This window comes from Homo sapiens, chromosome 6, assembly GCF_000001405.40.
Source record: "Homo sapiens chromosome 6, GRCh38.p14 Primary Assembly".
NCBI classification, from domain to species: domain Eukaryota; kingdom Metazoa; phylum Chordata; class Mammalia; order Primates; family Hominidae; genus Homo; species Homo sapiens.
This window is the reverse complement of record NC_000006.12, coordinates 84,118,848-84,140,724: the sequence shown is the minus strand read 5'-3', so window position 1 is coordinate 84,140,724 and position 21,877 is coordinate 84,118,848. Positions and strand designations below refer to the sequence as shown.

Sequence of the window (21,877 nt, the reverse complement as noted above, 5' to 3'; positions counted from 1 at the left end):
GACGAGACATCATCTCTATAAAAAATACAAAAATTAGCCTGTGCAGTAACATGCGCCTGTAGTCCCAGCTACTCAAGAGGTTGAGGTGAGAGGATTGGTTAAGCCCAGGAGTTCAAGGCTTCAGTGAGCTGATTGTGCCACTGTACCCCAGCCTGGGTGACAGAGCAAGACCCTGTCTCTACGAAAAACAAACAAAAAACCAAGAAGCCTTTTGTAGCTTAACCATGGTTGCCGGAGGCTTCCTCAAAAAAGTCTGCAAAAGATCAAATCTCCCTCGATATCCAAAGTTTCTCCCAAAGATAGCCTAAGAAAACAAAGACCTTCATTGCTCTGCAGACAGAAGAGTTGTGTGAAAATGGTGTTTCAAGCCTCCCACAGAGACACCTCCAGTCATAGACCTGCTAATCTGTGACACCACACAGGCACTGCTGGGATAGGACTCTCCCAGTATCAACCAAACAACAAAGTTTGAAACGCCAAAGGCTCCTAATGGACTGCCGTCTCTTATTAAGACAAACTCCCCTGAGCTGCATCAAACAAAGAGAACACCACTTGTCACTTGTGTCTTGGGTTCCCACCCTGTTCACCTGGCTGCCTGACACAAGCCAATGCTTGTGCCCCTGCACCTGGCAGAGACCAGAGACCAGTGTTCTCAGTGGTCATGAAAGCCAAGCTCTCAGGACATAAAACAAGATAAAAGGTGAACCTCATCCTTTCTTTTTCTTACTGGGGACCCACAGCAAAGTTTGTCTAAACAGACACCAGTCTGGTGAGAACCGTGAACACACCAGCCTGAGAGGGTGGCTGGAACAACAGGCTTATATGACCTATGTCTGTGTTCTGTCCTGTGATTCTCCTTCTCACAACAAATGATGCAAAAGACAATGGAAAACAATGACCTTTTCAAGGAGGCTAAAAATAATAACCAATAGGTAGCCAAAACCAAACCCACAAGAGTCACAAATTCAAAGAATTTTACAAATTTTTTTCTCCTACCAATCTGAATATGGAAAAGAAGGACCAGGAAAAATTTTACCTTCCTTTCTTGACTGACTGCTATAGACAGATATCTGGGAGAGCTGAGTTTGGTAAGAATTCTTACCTTTTACCAGCTTCTGCCAGTTTTGCTAGGATTTCATCTGCAGGTTCCAGAGTGGATGGGGTATCCCAGAAAGTCCCATCTGCATTGCCAAAAACTGTCAGGAAGGAAAAATTTTTTTTCTCAACCCATGTGAGTTCCTGTTGGGACAGGCCACTGTAACAAAAGACAGATTAACAAGAGAAAAACAAATTTATTAATGTGTGCAGCACACATCACAGGAGAAACCTCATGAAAAGTAACTCAAAACAGTGGCTTAGAACTCTGGTTTACAAACCATCTTCAACAAAGAACAATCAATTTGTAGATAAAGAAAGGACAGAGGAAAGTCGTTTTTAGGCTACAAAGGTGGGAAACTGTGGGAATGTAAATATATGGTAGGAAACTCATGGAGTACTGCAGATTCCTCTGGTGCCATCTCTGGGCTAATAAGCATCTAGAGCCCTCTTCACTAAAGGAAAATGTATTTCCTACTTTTAGGCAGAAAAAGAGGAGGATAGAGAGCTTTTCTTCCATTTGATTCTAAGATCCATTTCATTCTAAAAAGTGTGAAAGGCCAGGAAAGCTGCACATCCCGTTCTTTGATGCATATATACCATTTATTGTTATTGAAGGATTTAAGTCTCACAGGCAAAATATAGAGCCAATTGTATTATGAAAAGATCAATGTAAAAACACTCTACAATTACGCAAGTGTCAGTTTTTAAAATCTTGTTCTAGTAGTTGAAAGGCTAGTTCAGCATTGTGCATTCTTTTCAGTGTTTAAGATGTACATAAAACTTTGTTAACATAAGCACTAAGTTTACAGAACCTCAGAACTGAAGTAAAGTTTTTAGTGAAAGCAATAAAAGAAAGAATATGTACCTGTTTGCAAGATAATGAAGTCAGTTTTAGTTAACTTAATTGTTGTTAATTTAGCAATACAATGGTAAGACAGTTCTTACTTTAAGAATATCTAAAATACTTGAAAATAGAAGACGCAGCACATGATTTTTAAGCCTCACTACTAGAAAGCTAAGCACTCAGTGTCCTGAGTAAAGGTAATGACACCCTGCCTTTTAATTGGAATACCTACCTTTTAATATGGAGTTTATTTATAATGGCTGTATTCTGTGTAATATTCTAGCTGTTTTGACAAGACTAGTTTGAGGACTCTCCTGACGTCCTGTGTATTATGAGGCATTTCCTCTCAGGGTGGTGGAAATATGAACTATTCCCACCTCTGTGTGAGCTCCAGGAAATGCTCAGGCTATTTCCACTGGCTTCAAAACTGCCTCCAGGCAATAAACTGGACAACTCTAGAGCTCACCTTATTTCCCTTCTCCCAGAAATCACAGTCTGTAGTGCTGTTATCCAGTGTCTGAAAACAGTTGTTTCAAATATTTTGTGCTGTTTTCTAGTTATTTAAAGGAGGAGTCTCCCCTTGACTCCACATGACCACAAGTGAAAGTACACTATACATCGCCACAGATGAAAGCACACTATACATTTTAAACCATTAGTGAACTTTTGATTGCTTATGTGTTTTTAACATTTTATAGGCCATGAGATAACTGAGCAATGATTTATAAGTTTTCAGCATAAAGCAAAGATGATTCCCACTTAGTATATTAATTATAGAAATCTGAAAGGATGTTTCTAAACTCTTCATTATGTTTCATGCCTTTGTTACCTAAAATATTTTCAAGCACATCTTTTAAAATTATGTCTGCTGCAATGGGGTGAAAATCTTATTAAGGATCCAGCACCTCTTCCGTTGATGCTAACTCAGGCATGTATTTTTCAAATCCTTGGGTTTTTTTAAGACTCTAGAGTTTTAATATTCTAGAGTTTTAATATTCTTTTGTGTTTTAGTATTCATCATAGATTTTTCAATCTATTGTTCCACTTCTAATTGACTGCAAAAATCTTCAGTTCATTTATTTCTTCACACCCTGCAGTTGTAGAGAAAAGACATGAATCTTTACTCATGATCCCTATGGATAACTAAGGATTGATGCTATTATTGCTTATTTTCATATTTTTTCTATTATTAGGATATACATTTTACTGATTACAGATTTTTTCATTTGTGGGGTTTTATTTTTTTTAATCTGCATATTTTATAAAAGATATAGAAAATATTTAAGACTTACCTCTAATAAGACCCCAGGGACTATTGTGGCCCACTCATAAGAATTATCAAAATTCTTACTGTAATTTGTCGCAAATATTCTACAGCTAGCTGCTGTTGTTTTATGAACAGATAGTGGAATGATCATAGGGTTTATAAGATCTGGGTTTAAATTCTTGACTTGCCGTTGTAAGGCTCGCTAGCATGTTCAAGTAAACGTTTAGAGTCACACAACAACCATAAGGCCACACTTGGCATGCTGGATACAGGCCAGGAAACAGCAGGCTAGCAAGGCAGCATGACGCATTTCTCTTCAATGCAAGTCATTCTCACAGCAGTTCATATAGTTGTCCAGGAGCTGTCCAAGTGACAACAAAGGTGCAAGGAAATAAGACTCATACCACCTGCCAGGTATGACTCTTATTCCCTTGCTAGTTTAGATGCCGCATGCTCCACAAGAACCGATATCTCTTATACTAATCCTTGCACGGTGGCTCCCACAACAACATGCTCAGTTACAAGAGTCAGCATGGTCAGGAGAGCCCAAAACTGTCTTCCTATGAAGTATTTCAGTTCATACAAAGTCCCCCAAGCCTAGGTGCCTGGTGTGTGGCCGATGGCCATTCTTTATCAAGGGGAGAACAGACACAGAAAAGTGATTGAACCCAAGGTCAGTTTCTCATGCAGAAGAAAAAAGTTATCTGTACATAGCCACTTCTAGTGTCTTTAAACTCTCTCAGCCTCAGTTTTTACAGCTATCAAGTTAAATAAGACCTTCATAGCATTTTTTTTCATTGATTTAATAAATACTTAGTGAGCAGATGTCAGTCCCTGTTATTTGCTTCTTAAGATATAGCAGTGAAACATCTGGAGTCCTTGCTGTCAAGGAACATTCTAACCAGTGGGACAGAAAAATAATCAAACAGATACATATAGCCTATAATGTCTCCCACTAACTGCCTTTGCTTCAGAACTGTGTCACATGCTGCTGCGGTTTGAATATCCCTGCCAAAACTTATGTTTAAATTTAGTTGATGTTCAAGCAGGAATGGGTTAGTTATCACAGGAGTGGGCTCATGATAGAAGAATAAGTTCAGTGGTTCTCATTCCCTCTCTGTCTCATCACCTGCCTGCCCTTCTGTCATGGGTTAATGCAGCAAAAGGCCCTTCCCAGATGCCAGTGCCATGCATTTGGACTGTCCAGATGCCGAACTGTAAGCCAAATAAATGTCTGTGGTATTTGGTTATACCAGCAGAAAACAGACTAAGACATGTGCCCACCTCTAAACCAATCACTGCCAAGAAAAACTGGACAGCTATAACTGATCAGTTGTTTTTGTCCAGTAGTTATCCAGTAAACTGACAGTAAAACTGATCAGAATTTACCCCAGCATCACATGAACACCTGAACAATATCAAGGCCTTGTCAGCAAAGAAAGCAGGAATGGCTGCTTAAGACACAGTGCCCAGGATCTCCTTCAGTGCTAACCTAATTAGAATCTAAACCCTCTAGATTAAGTAAGTACTCACAATTCCTCTAGCAAAGTGACCAGGAAGACTTATGCCAATAGTTACAAAGCACGAAGGCACATGACATGATTGAAAAGTACACAGATACAGTGTACCAGGCTCATTTTTTTGTTGTTTTTTTGAGACAGTCTTACTGTTGTCGCCCAGGCTGGAGTGCAGTGGCACAATCTCGGCTCACAGCAACCTCTGCCTCCCTCATTCAAGTGATTCTTATGTCTCAGCTTCCTGAGTAGCTGGGATTACAGGATTGTGCCATCACACCCGGCTAATTTTTGTGTTTTTAGTAGAGATGGAGTTTCACCATGTCGGCCAGGCTGGTCTGGAACCCCTGACCTCAAGTGATTCACCCGTCTCAGCCTCCCAAAGAGCTGGGATTACAGGCGTGAGCCACCACGACCAGCCCAGGCTTGTTTAAAGTAATAAAAATAGGAATAATTTTGTGGTTCAGTTTAAATTGAGATGTGTAGTTTCTAAGATTACTCACCAACAAGTAAGAGAACAAAGACAAATGTCTTCTCTGGGAAGCAGTCTGTCTCTGGGCTACGCACAGATTGTTTGAACTCCAGCACCTGAGCCACCTCCTGCCAGCAGTCAGTGATATCTGTCTTCTCCAGTAAGAAAGCATCTTCACTCACCTTTAAGTGACATCATCTGGGTGAATCACTCTTTTTTACTTTAGTAAAGTAATAAAAAGATAACAGTTTTATTCATTAAAGAATATATGCTTTTATGCTTTTTATTGATGCTATTTCTGTCCTTAGTTGAGCATGGATTCACTATGCATGTGTTTTTATACTATTAATACATAATAATTAGTATTAGCAATTAGAAGGTATAAAATCACTATAATCCCACTACCTAGTTATATTTTGCTCTATATCCTTCCAGATTTTTTTCTATTCATAAATAAATACAAATATTGTGGATATGGTTCTCATGTGTGTACATATGCAAATACATGTTTGTTCATGTATGTATGTATGCATGCATATGATTTTCAAAGCATTTTTAACCTAACACTATATATGTGTGTGTGTGTGTGTGTGTGTGTGTGTGTGTGTGTATATATGATCTTTTCATGACAGTATATATCTTTATTGGCACTTCTATTATACCATTTCAAAATAGAGGCATTATAATATAATTATTTATCAAAAGTTTAATCTGTGGGGGGGAGGCTGGCAAGATGGTCAAATAGGAACAGCTGTATTCTACAGGTCTCAGTGAGATCAACACAGAAGGAAAGTGATTTCTACATTTCCAACTGAGGTACCTGGCTCATCTCATTGGAACTGGTTAGACAGTGGGTGCAACCCACAGAGGGTGAGCCAAGGCAGGGTGGGGCCTTGCCTCATCCGGGAAGTGCAAGGGGTCGGGGAACTCCCTCCCCTAGCCAAGGGAAGCCGTGAGGGACTGTGCCATGAGGAACGGTGCACTCCAGCCCAGTTACTATGCTTTTCCCAAGGTCTTCGCAATGCACACACCAGAAGATTCACTTGGGTGCCTACGCCACCAGGGCCCTGGGTTTCAAGCACAAAACTGGGCGGCCGTTTGGGCAGACACTGAGCTAGCTGCAGGAGTTTTTTTTCATACCACAGTGGCGCCTGGAATGCCAGCAAGACACCCCTGGAAAGAGGGTTGAAGCCAGGGAGCCAAGTGGACTAGCTCAGCAGATTCCCACCCCCACAGAGCCCAGCAAGCTAAGATCCACTGGCTTGAAATTCTCACTGCCAGCATAGCTGTCTGAAGTGACCTGGGATGCTCAAGCTTGGTGGGGGGAGTGGCATCCACCATTACTGAGGCTTGAGTAAGCAGTTTTCCCCTCATAGCATAAACAAAGCCTACAGGAAGTTCGAACTGGGCAGAGCCCACTGCAGCTTGGCAAAGCCGCCATAGCCGGAATGCCTCTCTAGATTCCTCCTCTCTGGGCAGGGCATCTCTTAAAGGCAGCAGCCCCAGTCAGGGTCTTATAGAAAAAACCCCCATCTGAAATGCAAGATGGCCAAAGAGGAACAGCTCCAGTCTACAGCTCCTAGCATGAGCGACTCATAAGATGGGTGATTTCTGAACTTCCAACTGAGGTACCAGGTTCATCTCACTGGGGCTTGTTGGACAGTGGGTACAGCCCAAGGAGTGTGAGCCGAAGCAGGGCAGGGCATCACCTCACCCAGGAAGCGCAAGGGGTCTGGGAATTCCCTTTCCTAGCCAAGGGAAGCTGTGATAGACGGTACCTGGAAAATCGGGACACTCCCACCCTAATACTGTGCTTTTCCAATGGTCTTAGCAAACAGCACACCAGGACATTATATCCCGCGCATGGCTCAGAGGGTCCAATGCCCACAGAGCCTTGCTCACTGCTAGCACAGCAGTCCGAGATTGAACTGCAAGGCAGCAGCAAGGCTGGGGGAGGGGCATCCGCCGTTGCTGAGGCTTGAGTAGGTAAACAAAGTGGCCAGGAAGCTCAAACTGGGTGGAGCCCACCGCAACTCAAGGAGGCCAGCCTGCCTGCCTCTATAGACTCCACCTCTGGGGGCAGGGCATAGCCAAACAAAAGGCAGCAGAAACTTCTGCAGACTTAAACGTCCCTATCTGACAGCTTTGAAGAGAGTAGTGGTTCTCCCAGCATGGAGTTTGAGATCTGAGAACAGACAGACTGCCTCCTCAAGTGGGTCCCTGACACTTGAGTAGCCTAACTGGGAGACACCTCCCAATAGGGGCCAACTGACACCTCATACAGCCGGGTGCCCCTCTGAGACAAAGCTCCCAGAGGAAGGATCAGGCAGCAACATTTGCTGTTCTGCAATATTTGCTGTTCTGCAGCCTCTGCTGGTGATACCCAGGCAAACAGTGTCTGGAGTGGACCTCAAGCAAACTCCCAACAGACCTGCAGCTGAGGGTCCTGACGGTTAGAAGGAAAACTAACAAACATAAAGGACATACACACCAAAACCACATATCTAGGTCACCATCATCAAAGACCAAAGGTAGATAAAACCACAAAGATGGGGAGAAAACAGAGCAGAAAAGCTGAAAATTCCAAAAATCAGAGTGCCTCTTCTCCTCCAAAGGAACACAGCTCCTTGCCAGCTGTGTTCCTTTGGAATAAAGCTGGACCAAGAATGACTTTGACGAGTTGACAGAAGTAGGCCTCAGAAGATCAGTAATAACAAACTTCTCCGAGGTAAAGGAGGATGTTTGAAACCATCGCAAAGGAGCTAAAAACCTTGAAAAAAGAGTAGACGAATGGCTAGCTAAAATAAACAGCATAGAGAAGACCTTAAATCACCTGATGGAGCTGAAAACCATGGCACGAGAACTATGTGATGTATGCACAAGCTTCAGTAGCCAATTCGATCAAGTGGAAGAAAGGGTATCAGTGATTGAAGATCAAATGAATGAAATGAAGTGAGAAGAGAAGTTTAGAGAAAAAAGAGTAAAAAGAAATGAACAAAGCCTCCAAGAAATATGGGACTATGTGAAAAGACCAAATCTATGTCTGATTGGTGTACCTGAAAGTGACGGGGAGAATGGAACCAAGTTGGAAAACACTCTTCAGGATATTATGCAGGAGAACTTCCCCAGCCTAGCAAGGCAGAACAACATTCAAATTCAGGAAATACAGAGAACACCACAAAGATACTCCTCAAGAAGAGCAACTCCAAGACACATAATTATCAGATTCTCCAAAGTTGAAATGAAGGAAAAAAATGTTAAAGGCAGCCAGAATGAAAGGTCAGCTTACCCACAAAGGGAAGCCCATCAGACTAACAGCAGATCTCTCAGCAGAAACTCTACAAGCCAGAAGAGAGTGGGGGCCAACATTCAACATTCTTCAAGAAAAGAATTTTCAACCCAGAATTTCATATCCAGCCAAACTAAGCTTCGTAAGTGAAGGAGAAATAAAATCCTTTACAGACAAGCAAGTGCTGAGAGATTTTGTCACCACCAGGCATGCCTTACAAGAGCTCCTGAAGGAAGCACTAAACGTGGAAAGGAACGACTGGTACCAGCCACTGCTAAAACATGCCAAATTGTAAAGACCATCAGTGCTAGGAAGAAACTGCACCAACTAATGAGCAAAATAACCAGCTAACATCACAATGACAGGATCAAATTCACACATAACAATATTAACCTTAAATGTAAATAGGCTAAATGCTCCAATTAAAAGACACAGACTGGCAAACTGGATAAAGAGTCAAAACCCATCAGTGTGCTGTATTCAGGAGACCCATCTCATGTGGAGACACACATAGGCTCAAGATAAAGGGATGGAGGAAGATCTACCAAGCAAATGGAAAACAAAACAAAAAAAAAGCAGCGGTTGCAATCCTAGTCTCTGATAAAAAAGACTTTAAACCAACAAAGATCAAAAGAGACAAGGCCATAATGGTAAAGGGATCAATTCAACAAGAAGAGCTAACTATCCTAAATATATATGCACCCAATGCAGGAGCACCCAGATTCATAAAGCAAGTCCTTAGAGACCTACAAAGAGACCTAGACTCCCACACAATAATAATGGAAGACTTTAACACCCCACTGTCAACATTAGACAGATCAACGAGACAGAAAGTTAACAAGGATATTCAGGACTTGAACTCAGCTCTGCACCAAGCAGACCTAATAAACATCTACAGAACTCTCCACCCCAAATCAACAGAATTCTTCTCAGCACATCACACTTATTTTAAAATTGACCACATAATTGGAAGTAAAACACTCCTCAGCAAATGCAAAAGAATGGAAATCATAACAAACAGTCTCTCAGACCACAGTGCAGTCAAATTGGAACTCAGGATTAAAAAACTCACTCAAAACTGCACAACTACATGGAAACTGAACCACTGCTCCTGAAGGACTACTGGATAAATAATGAAATGAAGGCAGAAATAAATAAGCTCTTTGAAACCAGTGAGAACAAAGACATGACGTACCAGAATCTCTGGGACACATTTAAAGCAGTGTGTAGAGGGAAATTTATAGCACTAAATGCCCACAAGAGAAAGCAGGAAAGATCTAAAATCAACACCCTAACATCACAATTAATAGAACTAGAGAAGCAAGAGCAAACAAATTCAAAAGCTAGCAGAAGACAAGAAATAACTAAGATCAGAGCAGAGCTAAAGGAGATAGAGACACAAGAAACCTTTCAAAAAAAATCAGTGAATTCAGGAGCTGGTTTTTTGAAAAGATCAACAAAATAGACCACTAGCCAAATTAATAAAGAAGAGAAGAGAGAAGAATCAAATAGACGCAATAAAAAATGATAAAGGGGATATCACCACCGATCCCACAGAAATACACACTACCATGAGAGAATACTATAAACACCTCTATGCAAATAAACTAGAAAATCTAGAAGAAATGGAAAAATTCCTGGACACATACACCCTCCCAAGTCTAAACGAGGAAGAAGTCGAATCCCTGAATAGACCAATAACAAGTTCTGAAATTGAGGGAGTAATTAATAGCCTACCAACCAAAAAAAGTCCAGGACTGGATGGGTGCACAGCCGAATTCTACCAGAGGTACAGAGAGGAGCTGGTACCAATCCTTCTGAAACTATTCCACACAATAGAAAAAGAGGGACTCCTCCCTAACTCATTTTATGAGGCCAGCATCATCCTGATACCAAAACCTGGCAGAAACACAACAAAAAAAGAAAATTTCAGGCCAGTATCCCTGATGAACATCAATGCAAAAATCCTCAATAAAATACTGGCAATCCAAATCCAGCAGCACATCAAAAAGCTTATCCACCATGATCAAGTCAGCTTCATCCCTGAGATGCAAGTCTGGTTCACCATACGCAAATCAATAAACATAATCCATCACATAAAACCAAGGACAAAAACCATATGATTATCTCTATAGATGCAGAAGAGGCCTTCGACAAAATTCAACAGCCGTTCATGCTAAAAACTCTCAACAAACTAGGTATTGATGGAACGTATCACAAAATAATAGCTATTTATGACAAACCCACAGCCAATATCATGCTGAATGGGCAAAAACTGGAAGCATTCCCTTTGAAGACCAGCACAGGACAAGGATGCCCTCTCTCACCACTCCTATTCAATTCAACTTAGTAATGGAAGTTCTGGCCAGAACAATCAGGCAAGAAAAAGAAATAAAGGGTAGTCACATAGGAAGAGAGGAAGTCAAAGTGTGTCTGTTTGCAGATGACACAATTGTATATTTAGAAAACCCCATCATCTCAGTCCAAAATCAATATGGGCAAAGTCTTCATGACTAAAACACCAAAAGCAGTGGCAACAAAAGCCAAAATTGACAAATGGGATCTAATTAAACAGCTTCTGCACAGCAAAAACCGGAGTGAACAGGCACCCTACAGAATGGCAGAAAATTTTTGCAATCTATCCATCTGACAAAGGGCTAATATCCAGAATCTATAAAGAACTTAAACAAATTTACAAGAAAAAAAACATCCCCATCAAAAAGTGGGCAAAGGATATGGACAGACACTTTTCAAAAGAAGACATTTATGCAGTCAACAAACATATGAAAAAAAGCTCATCGCTGGTCATTAGAGAAATGCAAATCAAAACCACAATGAGATACCATCTCATGCCAGTTAGAATGGCGATCATTAAAAAGTCAGGAAACAGATGCTGGAGAGGATGCGGAGAAATAGGAATGCTTTTACACTGTTGGTGGGAGTGTAAATTAGTTCAACCACTGTGGGAGACAGTGTGGCGACTCCTCAAGGATCTAGAACTAGAAATACCATTTGACCCAGCCATCCCATTACTGGGTATATACCCAAAGGATTATAAATCATTCTACTATTAAGACACATGCACACATATGTTTATTGTGGCACTATTCACAATAGCAAAGACTTGGAACCAACCCAAATGCCCATCAATGATAGATTGGATAAAGACAATGTGGCACATATACACCATGGAATACTATGTAGTCATAAAAAAGAATGAGGTCATGTCCTTTGCAGGAACATGGATGAAGCTGGAAACCATCATTCTCAGCAAACTAAGGCAAGAACAGAAAACCAAACACCGCATGTTCTCACTCATAAGTGGAAGTTGAACAATGAGAACACAGTGACATAGGAGGGGAACATCACACACCGGGGCCTGTCGGGGGGTTGGGGGTTAGGGGAGGGATAGCATTAGGAGAAATACCTAATGTAGATGACGGGTTGATGGGTGCAGCAAACCATCATGGCACGTGTATACCTATGTAACAAACCTGCACGTTCTGCACATGTACCCCAGAACAAAGTATAACTTAAAAAAAAAAGTTTAATGTTTACTAGGAACTGTGCAAAGTGTTTTATATACCTTATTTTATTTGATTCTCATCACAACCAAAAGAGTAGTTACTACTATTATTCCCATTTTAGATGAAGATATTGATGCTAAGGAAAGTGAAATAACTTCTATATGGTGGCTTACCGACCACCATATAGAAGTGCCACCGTTAGAACCCATTGCCTCTGACTCTAGGTCTCAGGCTCTTATTAATCATTACTAATTTATTTCACAAATCCCCTATTGTTGGCATGCAGGTTGTTTCCAGTTTTTTTAAATAATGTGTACATAGCAGGAAGTATTTTTTAAATACATGTTTGCTTATTAAGTATTCAGTTATCTCTAGAGGATAATTCATTAAAATGCAAGGATTTTTAAAATATATGTACATATTCAGTTTTGATTATATTCTTAAAGGTTCTTTTAGGTAGGTGCAATTAAAAGGAAATTTTCTCTATTTGTCTAAAACCAGATTTCTAAGTTTATGTGATTTACCAATGAATGTTTAATCATTGAAAGGTGAATGGACTAATTAATTCATGAATAATTGTTAAACACCTACCTCTCTGCCATGGGCAGCGCTGGGTGCTAGGAATAGTGAGGTGAACAAAGACAAAAATCTTTGCTCTTATGAAGCTTACATTTTATGTGAGGAGTCAGACAGTAAACATATATAAGGCTTAATAAAAAAATGAGACATCTGTAAAGTGCTCAGCCTAATGCCTAGCACATCATAATATAATGACTGACTACTACTTACCCTTTAAGACTCAATTCAAACACAGCCACCTTAGGAATTCTCTGTGGCCCTTCTTCTCTTCCAGTCAGGTGTTCTCACTTATCTCACTAGTCATTGGCCATCCCTTTATCATAGCACACAATATTAGAATTCTCATTCACTTGACTGTTTCATTCAGAAAACCAGAGCTTCCTAACTGGTGTACCAGGAACAGGTGTATCACAAGATAGTAACAGCTGGAAATATTACTCAAAATCATTTTTCAACCATTAAAAAGGTTACAGGAATTGAAATAATAATTGACCATTCTGTGTATGACTATGCCTTTATCAGCTTTCTTAGTTTAGTCATTAGTTTTTTAAAAAATAATTTTAATAATCATTATTTTAACACATACAGTTTTTATGCCCAACCAACACTCATCACCACAGCATGTTCTGTGAGGCCTCTCCCTGAGCTCTCTGCAAACCATCCCAATTATAGTCTGTATAGTTCTTTGTTCAATGATGATATCATCAGGGATGCTCCACATTTAAAATAGATTGCCTCTGATTTAATTTGCTTGTATCTTTGCATGTTTTTCAACTAATGTAGGTAAGATACTGGGATTTTTTAGTATTAGTATTATTGTTATTAATAGGTGTTTTCATAGAAAACAAGAGTTATTGTTAGTTCTATCCATTTTCATTTGGTTTTTGTTGCCTTTTGATGTAAACAATTAGCAAAATCTGATTCTTGTTGGAATTTCTTTTCATGATTATATGGGATAAAGAAGATACAATTAATTGTTTTCCCAAGCTCAATATGAAGGCACTGCACTACACTCTGTGAGGATGGGGTCTGTGTCTTTAATCTCTGGATCCCCAGGTCCTAAGACAGCAGTCAACACAGAAAGGGCTCAGTACTTCATTATTTCTACTTTATATGTATACATTTATTTGTGGAATGAACTACTACAAATTATAAAGTGATAAGGGCCATAGAGAATTACAAATAGAATTATAGGGAGTTAACAGAAGAAAAATACATATTCATTGAACTCTTTCTGTGCATGGGGCACTGTACTATGTTGAGTGCTTTAAATGTACTTTTTTAAATTCTGAAAGTAACCATCTTACTAACAATACCTTGTAGTGAAACTTAATGCATTAAAGAAAGTGCCAACTTCATTTTCAGCTCCTTTACCAGACTGCCATACTTGGGAGGTAGAAGATGGTCCATTCATCCGGAACCTCTTAGAATGTGAGGTCAACTCAGAGTTAGGAGGAACCTTTACTTTCTGGATATAGAGAATGAAAGCTATTAATTACTCTAACAATCCAAGGTGCCTCTTACTTATATAGAGAAATTTTATACAAATATTCTGATTTTCAAGATTACCTGTTAAATTCTTGTGATTATAGTTTTTCATTTGCTTCATATGTCAATTTTAGATTACAAAACTCTTAGAAGAATTGAGAGAAGCCAAAGAAAACCATACACCAGAGATGAAACATTTCGTGGGCTTAGAAAAGAAAATTAAGCAGATGGAAATGAGACATGCACAAAGAGAACAGGAACTTCAACAGGTAAAGTAAATCACATTTACATATTTATATAGGTCTTTACTTTTAAGTGCCTTTAATTTGCTATAGTTTTGTCATCCCTAGCAAAAATTACCACTTAAAGTGTTTCCAGTGTATTTTGATCTTGTTAAAAATTTAATAAATTTATAACTTTTACCAGAAAATGAGACTTTATATCTCAAGTGCTTGAAGATTGGTATCCTTATATCTGGAAAAAAAGCAAAAACTTGTATCATGTTCTTAATTATTGATGGATTCCTAAAAACTTACACATCTTACCCTGGGAACAAGGCATGGTGTTCCATATTCAAGTCATTTCAGCAAATGTTTATAAGAAATAAATTGTTTTAATATGATTATTTAAAATATATAGCTAGCACTAGTAATATTACTATACTTAATTATAAACAGATAAATTAATAGAAGTTAAAAATAGCAGATGTAAGGGCATGATGTGTTTTTAGGCACTTGCCTTGGTGCTGAAATTTAACTTGGTTTGAACAGTGTATTAGTCTGCTTGGGCTGACATAACAAAATATCATAAATTGGGTGGCTAAACAGGAAAAATTTATCTTCTCACAGTTCTGTAGGCCAGAAGTCCCAGATTGAGGTTTTGGTCAGTTAGGTTTCTGGTGAGGGCTCTCTTTCCAGCTTGCAGATAGCCACCTTTTTTCTCATTCTAACATGATCTTTCCTCAGTACCATGTGTGCAGAGGAGAGGAAGAGGGGCGAGAGATCACTTTGGTGTCTCTTCTGGTGATGATCTCTTCGGTGTCTCTAGTGGTGGAAACACTGGTTCTTATCAAATCAAGTCCCCACCCTTATGATCTCATTTAACATTCATTATTTCCTTACTCCACATACAGTCACATTAAGGGTTAGGAAATTCAACATATGAATTTGAGGGGGACACAAACATTTAGTCCCTAACACAGTTGGGATGTATATACTCCTTGAAGACAGAAAATGTTGCATCCACGCAGAGCATTATGATTTACCTGAGTTCCCCAAAGAAACCCCAGGTTTGCCTACTTTAAGATTGTTAAATGTTCCTCACCCACCACTATGAACTATAACAGCAATGTGGAATTTTTGTATTTGCAGATAATACAGCAAACACACCAAGTAGTAGAAACTGAGCAAAACAAAGAAGTTGAAAAATGGAAAAGACTGGCACAGTTAAAGAATCGTGAGCTGGAGAAGTTCCGCACAGAACTAGACTCAATATTAGATGTTCTCCGAGAGCTGCACCGGCAAGGAGTGGTTGTGCCAGTTGCTTTTGCAGATGAAATGAATGCACCAGAGTATTAATAGAAATTCAGATTTCATAATGACCTTATTAAAAGGCCTGAAGATGGATGGGATTGTGCCACTGTCAGGACAGCTTATGAAAAACAAGTGTTCCAATATGTTTCCAGAAAGCAAACAACCAAAGCAACATTTCAAAATAAATTGCCTTTAACCAATAAGAAAAAAAACATATAATGGTGTATTTTACTAAAAATCATTAACCAGTCTCATTTTAAGTGATTTATGGACAGTTTCCTTTATAGCAGAGAAGGGCTCACTTGTATGCTAGAAATAGAAAGAAAAGAAAATTGAACATACTCCGCCACATTTTTATTGATAATGTGAGGTTTTTAAAATTTTTATTTTAGATCCAGGGGGTACATGTGCTTGTTGTAACATGGGTGTATTGAATAATGGTGGGAATTGGGCTTCTAGTGTACCCATCATCCAAATATTAAACACTGTACCCAACAGGTAATTTTTCAACGCTTACTGCCGCTCACACTCTTTCCCCTATTGGAGTCCCCAGTGTCTGTTATCTCCATCTTTATGTCTCTGTGTACCCATTGTTTAGCTCCTACTTTTAAGTGAGAATATATGCAATATTTTATTTTTTATGTCTGATTTAGTTCACATAGGATAATGGCCTCCAGCTCTATCCATGTTGCTGCAAATGACATGATTTCATTCTTTTTTATAGTTGCATAATACTCCATTTATATATCTCTCTCTATATATATCTCACGTTTTCTTTATCCAGTCAATTGTTGGTAGATACTTAGGTTGGTTCCATGAATTTGCTATTGTAAATATTGCTGCAATAAACATACATGTACAGATATCTTTTTTATATAATGATTTCTGTTCCTTTGGGTAGATTCCCAGTAATGAGATTGCTGGGTTGAATGGTAGTTCTATTTTTAGTTCTTTGAGAAATCTCTATACTGCTTTCCATAGAGGCTGAATTAATTTACATTCCCACCAAGAGAGTATTCATGTTCCCTTTTCTACACATTGACACCATCATCTGTTGTTTGACAACTTTTTAATAATAACCATTGTGACTGGTATAAGATGGTATCTCAGTGTGGTTTTTGTACTTCTGTAATGATTAGTGACGTTGACCACTTTTTCACGTGTTTGTTGGTCAGTTGTATTTCTGTTGACAAATGTCTGTTCATGTTTTTCTCCCAGTTTGTAACGGGATTGTTTGGGGTTTTTCTTATTGTTTTAGTTCCTTGTACCTGATGAATATTAGTCCTATCTCAGAGAAATAACTTGCATATATTTTCCATTATGTAGGTTATCTGTTTATTTAGTTGATTATTTTGCTGTGCAGAAGCCTTTAATTTTAATTCAGTTCCATTTATCTATTTTTGGTTTTGTTGCATTTGCTTTTAGGGTCTTCATTGTGAATTTTTTGCTGAGGCCAACATTCTGAAGAGTTTTTCCTAGGTTTTCTTCTAGCATTTTAATACTTTTAAGTCTTACATTTAGGTCTTTAATCCATCTTGCATTAATTTTTGTATATGATGAGAGGTAAGGGTCTAGTTTATTTCTTCTGTATAAGGCAAATCAGTTTTCCCAGCACCATTTATTGAGTAGGGTGTCCTTTCCCCAGTGTATATTTTTGTTGACTTTGTCAGAGATCAGTTAGTTGTAAGTATGTGGCTTTATTTCTCAGTTCTCTATTCCGTTCCATTGACCTGTGTGTATTTTTATACCACTACCATGCTGTTTCAGTTACTATAGCCTTGAAGTCAAGCAATGTGATGCCTCTGTATTTGTTCTTTTTGCTTAGGAGTGCTTTGGCTATTTAGGCTTTTTTTTTTTTTTTGGAGTTGGGCGTTCAATATGAATTTTAGGATTGTTTTTCCCAGTTCTGTGAAAAAATGATGGTAATTAATAGGAATTACATCAAATCTGTAGATTGCTTTGGGCAATATGGTCATTTAAAACAATCATATTGGTTATTCAGTTCATAAGCATGGGATGTATTTCCGTTTGCTTGTGTCATCTGCAGTTTCTTCTGTGCTTTGTAGTTCTTTTTTACCTCCTTGGTTAAATGTATTCCTAGGTGCTGTGTGTGTGCGTGTGTGTGTGTGTAGCTATTATAAATGGGATTGAGTTCTTAATTTTGTTCTCAGCTTGAATGTTATTGGTGTATAGAGATTCCACTGGGTTTTGTATATTGATTTTGTATCCTGAAACTTTACTGAACTCACTTGTCAAGTCTACGAGTCTTCTGGAGGAGTCTTTAGGGTTTTCTAGGTATACAATCGTGTCATCAGCAAAACAGATTATTTGACTTTGTCTTTTCCAATTTGGATGTCTTTTACCTCTTTCTCTTGTCTGATTTCTCTGGCTAGGACTGCCAATACTGTATTGAATAGACGTGGTGAGAGTGCACATTCTCGTCTTTTTTCCAGTTCTTAGGGAAATGCTTTCAACTTTAACCCATGCAGTATGATGTTGGCTGTAGGTTTGTAATATATGGCTTTTATTATTGGAGGTATGTTCCTTCAAAGCCTAGTTTGTTGAGGGTGTTCATCATGAAGGGATATTAGATTTTATCTGGTGTTTGTCTCTGCATCTATTGAGATGATCATGTAGTTTTTGTTCTATTGTTTATGTGGTGAATCACATTTATTGATTTCTGTATGTTGAATCATCCTCCTTACATACCTAGAATAAAGCCCACTTGATCATGATGCTTTTTTTTTTTTTTTTTTTTTTTTGGATGTGCTGTTGGATTTGGTTTGCTAGTATTTTGCTGAGGATTTTCACATCTATGTTCATCAGGAAGACTGGCCTGCAGTTCTCTTTTTTTCTTGTATCCTTCACTGATTGTTGGTATCAGGGTGACACTGTATTTATAGAATGAGTTTGGGAGGCATCCTTCCTCTTCAGTTTTTTTGGAATAGTTTCAATAAGATTGATACTAGCTCTTTGTATGTCTGGTAGAATTTCGCTGTGAATCCATCTGATCCTGGGCTTTTTGTTGTTTTGGAAGATGTTTTATTACCAATTTGATTTATTTACTCATTATTGGTTAATCTAGCTGTCAATTTGGTTTACTCTTTCAATGAACCAACTTTTTGTGTATTGATCCTCTCTCATTTTTTGGTCTCATTTAGTTCTGCTTTGATCTTTGTAATTTCTTATCTTCTTCTAGATTTGAACTCAGTTTGTTGTTTTTCTAGGTCCTTGAGGTGCGATGTTAGGTTGTTAATTTGAGATCTGTCTTTTTGTGTAGGCATTTATTCTATAAACTTTCCTCTTAACATTACTTTTGCTGTATCCCAAAGGTTTTGGTATGTTATGTCTCTATTTTCATTTATTTCAAAGAATTTTCTTATTTCTGCCTTAATTTCATTGTTTCCCCAGGAGTCATTCAGGAGCAAGCTGTTTTGTTTTTATGTACTTGTGCAGTTTTTGTTTGTTTTTGAGACGGAGTCTTACTCCGTCACCCAGGCCACAATGCTATGGTGTAATCTCGGCTCACTACAACCTCCGCCTCCTGGGTTCAGGCGATTCTCCTGTCTCAGCCTCCAAGTAGCTGAGATTACAGGCGCACGCCATCACACCCAGCTAATATTTTATATTTTTAGTAGAGATGGGGTTTCACCATGTTGGCCAGGCTGGTCTTGAACTCCTGACCTCAGGTGATCTGCCCACCTCGGCCTCCCAAAGTGCTTGGATTACAGGTGTGAGCCACCATGCCTGGCCACGCTTGTGCAGTTTTGAGAGTTCCTTTTGGTATTGATTTCTAATTTCATTCCACCATGGTATAGGAAGTTACCACACCATGGTATAGGAAAGCCCCCATCTCTTAAAAATATTTTTTAATTAGCCAGGTGTGGTGACATGTGCCTGTAGTCCCAGCTACTCAGGAGGCTGAGGTAGAAGGACCACTTGAGTCCAGGAGTTCAAGGCTGCAGTGAGCTATGATTGCACCACTGCACTTCAGCCTGGAACAGAGTAAGACCCTGCCTGTAAAAAAAAAAAAAAAATTAAAAAATAAAAAGGTAAAAAGCAAGTGAAACGAATTTATATAATCTATCTAAATATTACCAGTATTGATAGAAAAATTGAGTTTTTGCATTTTGTCATACTAAATCTTCAAAATACATTTTACAGTTACAGCACATCGCAGTTTGGACTAGCCATATTTCAAGTGCTCAGTAACCACATGCCTAGAGGGTAGTAAAAGTATTACAGTTTGCTATTTTTTACGTAAAAGAAGAAATTTTAAGTTATAAATAATTTATTTTATTGAGTGTGTTTTGTGTATTTTTATCTGTAAGCCTATTAATGTATAGCTGCACCCATCCTTTCTTTTGTTCTTTTGACTATCTATGGGCCATTCATTCCAAATGCAAGCAATGTCTGGTTCTGGAACACAGGGACATGCAAACATCATATAATTACTTTCAGGAAAGGTATATCCTATTTTGATGACGATTCTATATTCTATTTTGAAATAAGCTATATACATGGCAGGTCTTCAGTTCTATATATAAAGATCCATAAGTACTCTAAAAGCTATTTGTTACAACTAAAAACCCAGGAGCCACATCCTATTCCTTAATCATTGCACTTAGGGGCCAGGATGAGAACACAGAAGATGGATACATCTCACTGTTTTTATAAAGATTCAAGCTCCAGAAGTGATCTATCTTCTCCTAGTGTGATGGTTAATTTTAGATGTCACCTCCACTAGATTATGAGATACCCAGAGAGCTAGTAAAGCATTCTTTCTGGGTATGTCTGTGAATTGTTGATCAAGAGATTGGCATTTGAATCAGTAGACCAAGTAAGGAAGATCCATCCTCACACAATGTGGACAGGCACCATCCAAATGGTTGAGGGCCTATATAGAACAAAAAGGCAGAGGAAAGACAAATTTGCCCTCTCTGGAGCTAAGACACCCTTCTTCTGATTTTGGACATCAGAATTGTAAGTTATCTAGCCTACAGACTCCAGGACTTAAACGAGTGTCCCCCAGGTTCTCAGGCTGTTGGACTTGGACAGCACTACACCTCTGGCTTTCATTTCTCCAGCTTGCACATTACATATCATGGGACTTATGCCCTTCCATCATGTGTCAACCAATTCCCATGATAAATCTTTATCTACATCTCTAAAGAACCCTGACTAATAGAGATTTGTGGCACCAGGAGTTATGCTAGAGGAACAGAACTTTTAGGATGAGTTTCTTTAATTGGTTTTGGGGTTTCTAGAATTTGCTTTCTAATCTGATTGGACTTCAAGTGCTAAGGAGTCTTATTTCCAACAGTACAGGGAACACTGATAGTCTATGGGATGAACTGCTTATTGTGATACACAAAATATCTGGATTGGGTACTCCTGATCAACCACTTGTAAGAGGCATGTAATTTAGTGATTCTGTGTATGACATTTTCAAAACTTGTGGAAAACTTAAGGAATATAATTATGTCAGTTGGTTATCCCTAATGTTGGTGGACAACATAATTTTTAAAAGGATGAGCTCAGGGATTTGAATTTCTGGCTCAGGCAATGCATAAATGATTTAAGAGCTTCTAGTGTGCCCTGAGAGAGAATCTGATCTCCTAGAGGCACAAGGCTGTAATTGCTGAAAATAAACACTAGACCTCATCATGCAGTCAGCTGAGTTAAAGCAAACTTCCAGGCTGACAGGGTGTCTACTGTTAAAAGTGGGAGTGTTGAATAATTGCACAACAACAACAAAAACTTAGGTGAAAGAAATTGAACAAAAACACAAATTGGAAGAAATCCCATATTCATAAATTGGAAAAATATTGAAGTATCCAGACTACCCAATGTAATCTGTAGATTCAATGAAATTCCTATTAAAATTACAATAATATTTTTCACAGAAATAGAAAAAAAAGTCCTAAAAGTTATATGGAACCACAAAAGACCTCAGTAGCTAAAACAATCATAAGCAAAAAGAGCAAAGCTCAAGGCATCATACTGCCTGACATCAAAATATACTACAAAAGTACAGTAATCAAAACAGTATATTATCACAAAAGCAGACACATTGACCAGTGAGACCAGATATAGTGTCCAAAAGTAAACCCACACTTTTACAAATAATTGACTTTCAATAAAGGTACCAAGAACACACAATGGAGAAAAATAATCTCTTCAATAAGTGGCATCAAGAACACTAGATATCCACATGCAGAAGAATGAAATTGGATCCTTATCTCACACCTATATAAAAATTAACTT

At 38.6% G+C, this 21,877-nt stretch overlaps 2 protein-coding genes across 9 annotated transcripts in view; one reads left to right on the top strand and one right to left on the bottom strand.

The window, feature by feature from the left end:
• CEP162 (centrosomal protein 162) overlaps positions 1 to 16,475 on the top strand; it is a 103,394-nt gene extending 86,919 nt beyond the window's left edge. For 7 of the 8 annotated variants that reach the window (XM_005248674.5, NM_001286206.2, NM_014895.4 and 4 more), the window contains 2 exons: positions 14,213 to 14,347; positions 15,449 to 16,475. In XM_005248674.5, coding sequence (XP_005248731.1) covers positions 14,213 to 14,347; positions 15,449 to 15,655 — 342 coding nt within the window. In that variant the 3' untranslated portion in view covers positions 15,656 to 16,475. Of the gene's footprint in view, positions 1 to 13,955; positions 14,104 to 14,212; positions 14,348 to 15,448 lie in introns of those variants that run through there. The other variant, XR_007059227.1, reaches the window with a different exon arrangement.
• MRAP2 (melanocortin 2 receptor accessory protein 2) overlaps positions 1 to 21,877 on the bottom strand; it is a 113,105-nt gene that overhangs the window by 5,558 nt on the left and 85,670 nt on the right. The window contains exon 4 of the mRNA XM_017010221.3: positions 1,103 to 1,255. Within this exon, the coding sequence (XP_016865710.1) occupies positions 1,103 to 1,255 (153 nt within the window). The remainder of the gene's footprint in view (positions 1 to 1,102; positions 1,256 to 21,877) is intronic.